General features: G+C 37.1%; 4 annotated features.

The window, feature by feature from the left end:
• Window positions 8,101-9,300: an enhancer, noted in NCBI's record as "MED14-independent group 3 enhancer chr3:88279578-88280777 (GRCh37/hg19 assembly coordinates)". NCBI's record gives its function as "activates an origin of replication core promoter dependent on BRD2, BRD4, P300/CBP and CDK7 cofactors, and independent of MED14, by STARR-seq in HCT116 cells {active_cell/tissue: HCT116}" and the evidence as "EXISTENCE:reporter gene assay evidence [ECO:0000049][PMID:35650434]".
• Window positions 8,101-9,411: a biological region, named in NCBI's record as "MED14-independent group 3 enhancer GRCh37_chr3:88279578-88280777".
• Window positions 8,410-8,909: an enhancer, noted in NCBI's record as "H3K27ac hESC enhancer chr3:88279969-88280468 (GRCh37/hg19 assembly coordinates)". NCBI's record gives its function as "activates a minimal SCP1, AML or CMV promoter by ChIP-STARR-seq in primed H9 embryonic stem cells {active_cell/tissue: H9 hESC(primed)}" and the evidence as "EXISTENCE:reporter gene assay evidence [ECO:0000049][PMID:30033119]".
• Window positions 8,910-9,411: an enhancer, noted in NCBI's record as "H3K27ac hESC enhancer chr3:88279467-88279968 (GRCh37/hg19 assembly coordinates)". NCBI's record gives its function as "activates a minimal SCP1, AML or CMV promoter by ChIP-STARR-seq in primed H9 embryonic stem cells {active_cell/tissue: H9 hESC(primed)}" and the evidence as "EXISTENCE:reporter gene assay evidence [ECO:0000049][PMID:30033119]".

The raw sequence follows: 11,864 nt of genomic DNA, 5'->3' as shown, positions 1-11,864 counted from the left end.
ACATAAAAATCTATAATACCCATATATAGCAAATAACATACTGACATATAATGCTAACCTCTAACATTATCCTTCTTAATATTTAGGGAAAAAAACATATTGAATATGAGTTGTAAAATGCTAAATAGAATAGTAGCTCTGACTGTGAGAAAATATTTAAAATCATTCATTTCAGTTGGTTTGAAATGTCATGAAAAAGCTTGCCGTAACTACTTAATCTGAGCCTGAGGAATAGTAAAGTCAATCATCCTTATTAAAATAGTTTATTGTTAATCTCTCTGTGTGTGAATGCATATATATATATATATATATATATATAAAATGAATAACCCAAGAAAAATTGATACAATAATTGTGACAAAATATGTAACCCCTATGCCTCTTCCCTATCCAATATAACAGAATAAAGGTAGTTATACTAAATCCATTGCTTTTGATCAAAGAATAAAACTGCCTTTTTTTTTTTTTTTTTGAGATGGAGTTTCACTCTTGTTGCCCAGGCTGGAGTGCAATGCATGATCTCAGCTCACCGCAACCTCCACCACCCGGATTCAAGAGATTCCCCTGCCTCAGCCTCCTGAATAGCTGGGATTACAGGCACGCGCTACTATGCCCGGCTAAGTTTGTATTTTTACTAGAGACGGGGTTTCTTCATGTTGGTCAGCTGGTCTCAAACTCCTGACCTCAGGTGATCCACCCGCCTCAGCCTCCAAAAGTGCTGGGATTACAGGCGTAAGCCACCGCACCTGGCCTAAAATTGGCTTTTTAAATAAATATCAACATCTTGAAATTCTACAGTGATCTGTTGCTTGTCTTAATTTTAATTTAAAAAAATGAATAGCATAATTGAAATAATCAGCATTAATCTTTAAATCAAAAGGATTTACAATGAGATTATAATTAATTACATGCCAAAACTATCTCATTGAATAGGGTAGTGACCTCAGTTACTTTGTTTAATCACTAAAGCAATTCAATTCCCAAATAAGAATTTGGATCAATTCCAATTATACCCAATTAAGATTATCAGTTCACTAAGAACAGTGACAATAACCCTCAAAAATAAACTCCTTAAAACTTTTCTTTTTGATTAATGCGTCTGCACCACTTTTTATTAGTACTTAGGTCCTTGAGGAAAACAATCTTGGCAGGAGGGCCATGCTGGCCCCAGGATGCCTGTGGGTGAATATTTCCATAAATTGTTTTCTGTTCTGTTGCTGAACACATCAGTTGTCACCTATTAGCCCCATTTGCAGCAGACCAAAGTCAAAGAATGTTATTCTTGTTATCTTGAATACATCCTGGAAAGCCACAGATTAATAGATTTTTCTCTTAGGAGCTACAAAAAACCCTCTACAATTTTTATGCATTTCTAACTTAGACAACTTTTATTTCTCAAGTTTCACAACAATATGATGAGTATGCTAGACCATAGCTACATTGCCAAAAGATTGTAATTCATTTCCTTTGATATGTACAGGACAGTTACATAGAGATGATTCAGAAACAGAAAATAAGAACAAATCATTTCTGGCTTCTTACAAATGAAAATGTATTTAACTAATGCCAACTTCTACTTACCATGGCGTGTCCTCTAAACTATGAGAAGACATTTTATTTTTTCAAATATACCTTTTTGTTTTCCATATGAAATAACTGGTGCTTCCTTAGTATTCTAATTGGTGCAAAATGCTGAGCCAATTATGAAAGTTCTCAAGCAGCTCCTTTCAGTGAACTTCAGAGGGAAACTAAAACAAGCCTTCTCTAAACAAGACTGGGATTTAAAAAGCCAGGTAATTTTTTTTAATTTTATATTTTCTGATACATGTTCTGTATCTTTGACACTGCACGTTTTTTGTAAAGCATAATTAATATCCTCAATTAGTTGGAAAGTATTTCTTGAGTTATCTGCACACAGCACTCTCACAATGCACTGACATTCAGATTCTGCCCAGCTTTCTGCCAAAATCTTCTCTTTAACTTTAGCTTCAGCCTTGCAATGGACCATCATACAGCTAAAGAACTATTGGCACGCTGATGCTGTGTGTAATTAATGACAAGTGTTGATAAGTTACCAACATATCTAATCAGCATAACAATGTAATATAAATAAGATGTGTCATTCAGATTTATTGCCAAGCTCTGGAAATTTACATTCAAATATAGATAAAAGCATTCTATATATAACCTGAACAGAAAAATCTTATGTGTTTTATATGTTGAAATTCTGTCAGTCAGCTGATGTGTGATACATCATTATTCTCTGAATTAATTACAGAAACAATCAATGACAGTAAAAGCCGCCAAACTGGTCAAAAATATTGAGAAATTTCCAAAGGTTAAATAGAAAATACATTGACAGTTAAATTAATATTAGGAGAGAGTACAAGAACCAAATAACCTTAGGGAGACCACATTACTTTGGAGACAAGAGATGAGTATAAAAATGTAAATAATAATACAAGGTTTATTAACAGAGATTAGAATAAAGCTGAATCAGTCTAGGTTTGATCACAAAGAGAGAATCACTATAAGAATTATGAAAACAAGGAATGTAATATGGAATTAGGGCTTACATTATTGTGACAGGAGATGGGATGAGTAAAGGTCTCAAAAGATAAAGCCAGGAAATCAGGAAACGGTTAACTATTGACCTCAACGTGAAGTACTGGAGGATGAAGCATCTACAGCTTGTAGGGAGGGTGGAGTAACCACAACTGTGAGTGAGAGTTCATGAAGCGGTCTGCAAAGCTACCATGTCTGACCACCACGATTTCTTGAGAACATGGCTTCCATTTTCCAAATCCCATGTAAATTACTCTCAATAGGAAACTCTAACCAGAACCATACAGCCAAGGGGATTCTGAGAAGCACGGTTCTCCGCCTTAGGAGAAAGGCAGTTCTCCTAAGAAATGCTGTTGTCTGGTTCATAGACAACCCACCAGTATCATAACTCTAATCAAGTAGAATTGTTTATTGAGCTAGAAATTAAAATATGAGAGAAAAAAATCGTTAAGAATTGTATTTAATTAGCAGTTACCTAATTCCACGGAAGCCTTAAAACTTTCATGAAAATTATTCTCCTGAGGAATTTTTATAGTTTATGATGATAAATTAAAATCAAATATCAATTTTGCCACATCAACATTTCTTGAAGAAGAAAAAATCAGAAATCCTGTATTACGACTTTCATAATAAACCATCTTCAAGCTACACATAATTAAGAATATGAGTATAAACAAAAGAAGAAAGTAAAAGCGTTAAAGAAAAATAGGTTTCCCAAATTACATTTTGTTCTCACTAACTAAACTTCAAAATAATAATTTCATAAAACTGCTTTAAGCAGATTTGCATCTATGGGCTCAAAAGTTAAACAAAAATTAATCTGGCCAGGCATGGTGGCTCATGCCTGTAATCCCAGCACTTTGGCCAAGGTTTCTGGATCACCATAGGTCAGGAGTTAGAGACCAGCCTGGCCAACATGGTGAAACCCCATCTCTACTAAAAATACAAAAATTAGCCAGTACATGTTGTGGTGCATGCGTGTAATCCCAGCTACTCAGAAGGCTGAACCACAAGAATTGCTTGAACCCAGGAGGTGGAGGTTGCAGTGAGCCTAGATGGGCAACAGAGTGAGACTCTGTCTTAAGAAAAAAAAAAAACAATTTAAATGACTGCTATACAAATATTGAGGACAATGACTCTTTTATGACTTGCCTTAAGTTCATTTTATAAAACATGTAACTAAAAGACATTTTCCTGAATTATATTCTGGTGGATATAAAAAGATTAATGGCATTACTAAATATACTAGATGAAAGAGAACATGCATTTAGTACCTTAAACATGTGGCCAGAGTGACAATGAGCCATCCAGTAGTGGGGAGGTTGGAGAAATTATTATTCTGGATCTACAAGGTCAAACTTCTCAAATTTTACTCCTCAAAATTTGAATAATCATAAATTAAACAATGTTTAAATAAAACCTTAGATCTATGCTAGTATTTCACAAGTTCATTGTATTGTGGTGATATTTGGATTTGGCTTTGGTTTTGAGATAAAAGTAATATTGATCTTAATGACTCCATAATTTGGCATTTGGTACAAAATCACATTAGGGTACATCTCTAAAAATCACATCAATAGAGTTTGACTAGGATGTTTTCATACTTTACATAAGTATAAATGCCCTCCTCTCTTCTTAAAACCAAATAACTACTCGAGGCCACCACATTCACACACTTTCTCTGTGAAGTGGGCCAGCACTTCCCACTTTCAGAATTCTTCCTTTTGTTGTAATAATTTATGTATGTTTCTCATCTTTCCTACTAATCTGAAGGTGAGTCATAGCAAGAATATTTGGTCTTGTCTTTTTTCCACCACTAATAGCAGTCATGAATCAGTGACCTGTATGGCAAATTCAATCTGTAAATACGTTTGGTTTGGTTGATTTGTGTTTGTGTGTCTGTGCCTGTGTGTATATGTATGTTTCCTATGCAATTGTCTTTTAAGTATATTCACATAATTGTACAACTATCACCACAATCTAATTTTAGAATAATTTCATCATCCCCCCAAAAAACCCATATCCATTAACATTCCTTACTCCTCTCCCATAGCCCTAGGCAACCATTAATCTGCTTTCCGCATCTATAGAGATGACCATTTAATATAATGGAATCCCACCATATAGATTAATCTGTTACCGACTTTTGTCACTTAGCTAAATGTTTCCAAGGTCCACCCATGGTGGACCATAGATTAGTACTTCATTCCTTTATATTGCAAAATAATATTTCACTTATTGATAGACCGCATTTGACTTACCATTTCATCAGTTAATGGACATTTATTTCTATTTTTTGGCTATAATAAACAATGCTGCTATGAACATCTTTGTACAAATTCTTGTGTGGACATATGTTTTCATTTCTCTTAGGTATATACCTAACGGTGGACCAGCTGGGTTATATGGTAAGACTATGTTTAACTTTTTCAGAAAGTGCTAGACTGTTTTACAAAATGACCTTATCATTTTATATCCCCAGGAGCAGTGTATAAGTGTTACAATTTCTCAGAATCCTGACCAATATTTATTATCTGAGTTATTTATTTTAGGCATCCTGGTGGTATGAATGGTATCCCATTGTGGTTTTGATTTTCATCTCCCTAATGATTAATAATAGGCCTTATTATTAAGATGTTTATTAAGCATGTTAAGCATCTTTTCCTGTGTTTATTGGGTGTTTATCTTCTTTAGGAAAATGTCTAATTTTTAATTGGGTTGTTTGTCCAATTTTTAATTGGACTGTTTGTCTTTTGTTTTGGTTTGGTTTTTGGTTGTTGGCTTTTGGTTTTTTGGTTTTCCGTTTTTTGAGATGGACTCTCCCTCTGTTGCCTAGGCTGGGGTGCAGTGGTGCGATCTCCACTCACTGCAACCTCTGCCTCCAGGGTTCAAGTGATTCTTGTGCCTCAGCCTCCCGAATAGCTGGGATTACAGGTGTGTGCCACCACGCCCAGCTAATTTTTGCATTTTTAGTAGAGACAGGTTTCACCATGTTGGCCAAGCTGGTCTCAAACTCCTGACTTTAAGTAATCTGCCCCCACTTCAGCTTCCCAAAGTGCTGGGATTACAAGTATGAGCCACCTCGCCTGGTCAGATTGTTTGTCTTTTTAATATTGAGTTGCAGGGCCAGGAGTGGTGGCTTACACCTGTAATCCCAGCACTTTGGGAGGCCGTGGCAAAAGGACTGCTTAAGGCCTAGAGTTGGAGACCATACTGGGTAACATAGTGAGACCAGGTCTCCACAAAAAAACAAAAATGTAATAGCCGGGTGGGTAGCATGCACCTGAAGTCCCAGCCACTCAGGAGGCCAAGGCAAGAGGATCACTTGCTTGACCCCAGAAGTTTGAGGTTGCAGTGAGCTGGGATTGCACCACTGCAGTCCAGCCTAGGTGACAGAGCAAGACCCAGTCTCTATCCAAAAAAAAAAAAAATTGAGTTGTAAGCACGCATCATGTATTCTGTATTCAGGTCTCTTATCAGCTATATGATTTACAAGTGTATCTTCCCATTTTGCCGTTTGTCCTTTCACTTTCTTGATGGTATTGTTTACAACACTTCTTTAAAATTTTTTGATGAAGTCCAATGTATCTATTTGTTTTCTTTTGTCACTTATGCTTCTGGTGTCATATGTAAGAATGTATTGACTAAAGATACAAAGATTAATCTATAATCCATTTCAAGTTGATTTTTGTGTACAATGTGAGACAGGAAGTATTTTTGCATGTAAATACCCAATTGTTCCAGCACCATTTGTTGAAAGACTATTGTTTTCCACACTGAATTGTTTTGGCACCCTAGCCAAAAATCAATTGGCCAAAATGTGGGTTTATTTCTGCACTCTTAATTCTATTCCACTGATTTATGTCTATCCTATGCGAGTACCACCACTGTCTTGAGTACTGCAGCTTTGTGGTAAGTTTTGAAATCAGAAGTGTGAGTTCTTAAACTTTGCTATTCTTTTTCAAGATTTTTTGGGCTATTTTGAGTCTCTTCTATTTCCATGGTAATTTTAGGATTTGCTTGTCAATTTTGCAAAGAAGTCAGCTAGAATTTTGATAAAGGATTGTGTTGAGTTTACAAAACAATTTATGGAATATTACCATCTTAAGAATATTAAGTCATCTAATATATTAATATTTGATATTTTCCATTATTGAGTTATTTAATTTCTTTCAATTACGTGTTTCAGTTCTCAGAGTACAAGTCTTGTACTCCCTTTGTTAAATGTATTCGTATTTTATTCTTTTTGATGTTATTATAAATAGAATCACTTTCTTAATTTTAACTTCAGATTATCCATTACAAATGTATATAAATACAACTGATTTTTGTATGTTGAACTAGCATTCTGCAACTTTGCTGGACTCATCTATGAGTCCTAGTAGTTTTATTTTTAGTGGTTTTCTTGGGAATTTTTGTATAAAAGATGATGTCATCTGCAACTAGGGATGATTTTACTCCTTTCTTTCTAATCTGGCTACCTTTCATCTCTTTTCTTGCCTAATTGCCCTGGCTGGAACCGCCAGCACAATATTGACTAAAATGGCATAGTATTTTAAAATCAAGAAATTTCACACACACACAAAAATAGCCTGAGTATATTATTTTGAAAAAACAGGAAATCTGGAAAATACTGGGCTTAACATGAGCTGGGTAGTGGTTGCTCCATTTAGGTGGGACATGTGCTCTCCACCTGACCAATTCCCCACTATTCTCTATGGCATAATACTTTGTCAGCTTCACTAACCTGTTCACTAATTCTGTAGACATTGAGTTTACTAATTTTTCATTATAGAGATTAATAATAGTACCATATTCATATTAAATATTTTGCATGTATTTATTAACTGATGCATAGGATGACTGCCACAAATGAATGAACAACTGGACAAACAAATTTTTACCTCAGATCTTAAGAAGTCCTATTTCTCCTAACCTCAGTCTCCTAAGTAACAGGATCCCACTGTAACTCCATATTTCTCATTCTACCATCCATCGCTTATCAGATTGATAGATTAGTGCCAGTCTGTTACAACAATTTTCATTAATATCTTCTTTTTTTGTATTTATTAGCAAACTTATTGAAACAATATCTCTTTTTTAATATATTTCCTTTTATATTCAAATAGAAACAGCAGAATGAAGTGGTTTGTGGCTGAAACAACCTTCCTGGGAAGAACACTGGAGTGCTCATCTATCAAAAAACAAACTCCAATGTCTGAGCCCCATCTCCCCCTAGACAAAGTAAAGAACAGATTAAAGGGGAAGAGGAAGGGCACAATCAGAACAGAGGTGGTGGAGGCTGGCAGATTTCCAGTAAAGTACAATGTTCAAAGTTGCTGCAATTATGGAGTAGAATAGTACTCAACTTTAAAGCAATCACAAGCAGGAGTTTCCCCTCCAGCCCTCACCCTGATTTGCGTTCATAAAAATACATTTTTCTCTCTCCTCAGTAAGTGATGTATCAGGACTGGGTACCAATCTATTTTACCACAGCAAAGGGGACTCTTTTTATTCATTCAGGTTTCTGGGACCAGAGTCAAGATTCTAGAGAAAGGGGAAAATCTCTATGGTTTTAAGGGATGTTTGTTTATATGCTAACTCGCTACCTGCTGAAATTCATTTTAAACTCCTTCATGTAGCTATGGGTTAGGTAAAATTTGCACAGAAATGTCACAAGTGGCCTCGCAACCCCCACCCGAGGAAATGGTGAGTCAAGACTTAAGCACTCTCAACACACATAAAAAACCCTTTGTTCTTGGTGGGAATGAGTGAAGTCACCTGGCTAGGAGGGTGAAATGGTGAGAAGCACAAGTAGAACTCACTGCAGGAAAAGGGCTGAGGCAAGGCGGACCAAGGTACACACTCTGAAAACTTTACCTGCTAGAACAGTCAGCATGTTATCCTAAACAAGAAAAGAAAATCACCAAAGTGTGAAACTTAATTTATGAACAGAAAAAGACCAAGGCTTGGGCAATTAAAACAATCCAGCCTCCCTTTCTTTTTTAATTTGTTTCATGTATTTTTAAGGTAATTTTCTTTTCTTTTGGAAAAAGAAATACATTTTGCCACCTAACCTAAGCAAATGGAGTTGCCATTGCCCAATTTATCTCTATAGTTTTGCTAAGAGGTGAAAAAACAAAAGTAGAAATGGACTCCTAATAGGAAGTCCATTAGCGGGTGGGGAGGAGCTGGGGAATGCCCCAGCTACTAGGACAGCCCGAGTGAATCTAGGGGACCAGGCCCTTGACTGTCTCAGGGCAAATCCTGCTCTACCTCTTCTTCTATGGTCACCGCCCCCTGTAGACTGAGAAGGGGGCATGATGTAAGTAGAGCGTCTCAGAGAAATCCAGTGGAGCAGGTCTCAGCGCTGGCTTTCCCAGGCTTTCCGACTTTGGGCCTGAGTGGTGGTTTCCAGGCCAAGTCCCAGATCTCACCTGTAGCCAGCACCCTCTGGGAGATGAAAAGAGGCCAATCCTTTCCTCAACATCTGTTCCTCCACAGTTACGGCTGGTGAGAGAGGAATGAGCTGGAGGAAATGGCGTGAAAAATGGGACTGCACGTTAAGGAAGGCAGAAAGGGGGGACCTACTGGCCAGCCCTCCCAATCCAACTGATGAGAGTGGGGAATCCTGTCAGGACTGCCTAGTGTCTAAGGACAACCTTTTGTGGCACAAGCCTTAACTCTCTTCTGCTGGCTGGGACTCATCCTTATGCACCAGTCCCTGCCCTGGATTCCAATGTTATTTCAAGGATATAGGTGGTTAATTAATACTCATAGCAACTATCGCTTGTGGTTGCTCAAAACCCATGCCGCTAAGGAGCTTGGTGCTATCATTTAAAAAAAATTATTTTCTTTTGTCTTATCTGTTTGGATTGAACAGAAATGGTACCATCAGACTGTGCCCCAAGGAGGTGCACAGAGCCTCCTAATCAGGATTGGGGATATCATCCTCACCCGCTAAGTCCACCCTCAGTCATGAGGCCCCCTCCCTGTCTTGTTCCCCAATAGAGAAGCCTTATATAGTCAAAGGAAAGAACCTGAAGTTTTCAGCTGTTGTTATTCTAAGTCTAAATACAAGAGAAATGTTCTGTATCTAAATCATTGAGCTATTCGGAGGGGAAATAGTTTTATGTCTCCTGGCATTGATGAAGATTTTTCTTCAATCTTCCTGCAATTACTGGGTCAGGCTGTGCTGTTTTCCTTCTACCAGTTTTCAACAAACAGGCAAAAACTGTTCTGTGGTTTGAATGGCAAAGCCACTAAGATCTCCTCATAAACACTTCAGGGGAAGAAAGGAGGAGATCCTCCATCCCTCGATAAACAGAAAGAAGAAAGAGTTGACTACAGCATCAGTTTCTCTAGTGCAGCAAGAAGGTTCACATGGTCCCTCTGGAGCTCTGTGAGATAGATTCAGAGCACTGCTGGTTCCCAGTTTGGCTGATGGTAATGTCAGGAAGGGGAGGAGGAGAGGACAGCCTAAGATCTAACGGATGCCCCTTATCATTTTTATCTGAGTAGAATCTTTCTGGTTTAACTACAAATGGATACTGTTTTCTTAAATAAGCTACCATGGCAATCCTCACATTGTCTCTACTGTCCAGTTATCCAAACATGTGTTTGAAATTATCATTTCATTCCTCAGGGATAGGACAAATTTTTCACTATAGATTAGATACTTAAAACACATTTGTCTTACCTGAGTCACATCTTTATGGAAACTTTCCCAAGATAGAATCAATCTGTGAGAATCCATGACTGGCATTTATCATAGTTATTAAGGATAATGAAATCCAAAGCAATATGAGTTCATCTACTATACCAGCCTCAAGGGCTTCGTTTCATATCTGAAGGTCCACGTTGTGAATACTGCTTTTAGCTGAGACCCAGTTACTATCAGTCAGAAATTCAGGTTCAAGGAAGTCAGTTTAGTCTATTTCAAAGCCATTTCAATTTCACTTGGTCAGTTTCTACTTCATTTAAAATAAATTTCTTCAAAAACATTTAACTTTAAATCTTTAAAGATTTTACTTTCAAGAAATAAAATTATCAGTGCTATATTTAATAAAATTATTGTCATTCTAAAATATTTAAAAATTATATTGCATTCTTTAGGCAGAATCCTATAAAGGAATGGAAACCCAAAATCTGAGCCAAGCCAATATTAAATATACCCTAAAGTGGGATTTCTCAACAGTGCTACTATTGACATTTGGGGCCAGACAACTCTTTGTTGTGAGGGACTATTCTGCGCGGGCTGAGAGTATTGTGGAAAATGGGGCTGGAAACTTAGAAATTAAAAAAAAGTCAAGACTTAAAAAAAAAAAAGTATTACTCTGGCAAGAGTGTAAAGAGTGGATTGTAGAAAAACAAATTTTTTCTGTAATGACCATGTTACTCACCTTCCTAAAGAGAGTCCACATAAAGAATCTTACAGCAGATGCATCAGAATTTCAACAGCATCTAAATAGATATAATTTCTCATTTACATATGAAAGAGGTCACTGCACAAAACCAGATCTAATGCCAAGAGCTAAGTGTAAGGGTGGTGCTAATCAAGAAGATGATGAAGATGATAACAGATGAAGATGATAACAGATAACATTTATTTGGAACTCTTACTATATGCTAGTCATTAATTCTAAGTCTTACTTAGAATTTACTACTTTGTTACTCTCAGCACTCCCAATTCATCTCACACCTTATATGGCAGATTTCAAAAAGCCCATAAATTCCACCCATCCTGGAATGTATGCTCCTTGGCAATGTGAATTTCCACTCCTCCTATCGGGGTGGAGTCTATCTCTCCACGCATTCACTCTGGGTTTGATCATGGACTTTGTTTTAGTCGAGGACACAGCAAACATGAGACGAGCAGAAGGTTGAAAATGGACTTGCCCTCTTTTGCTGCCTGATATCACCATGTGAAGAAGCCTGGGCTAACCTGTTGGATGGTGAGAGGCATATGCCATCACCACAGATTACATCTGGCCACTCGGCAGACACGAGAGTGAGGGGTCCCTAGACCACGGCTTACCAACCACCAGACTATAAATGAAACCATCCTAAATCATCCATCTAAGTCAAATATCTCCAGAGCAGAAGAAGCTCCTAGCCAAAGCATAGAGTTATGAGAAATAATAAATGTTTATTAAGACATTAAGTTTGGGTTAGTTTGTTATAGTGCAGAAGATTACCAATTAGCCTCACTGGAATTCAAGGGTATGGGTATTGTAACATTATTAATGCTATTTTAGGGAAAAGTTGAGGCATGCAAAGTTAAAGTAACTTGCCCATGG

This window comes from Homo sapiens, chromosome 3 (assembly GCF_000001405.40).
Source record: "Homo sapiens chromosome 3, GRCh38.p14 Primary Assembly".
NCBI classification, from domain to species: domain Eukaryota; kingdom Metazoa; phylum Chordata; class Mammalia; order Primates; family Hominidae; genus Homo; species Homo sapiens.
The sequence above is the reverse complement of the archived record's forward strand: the minus strand, read 5'-3'. Positions and strand labels throughout refer to the sequence as shown.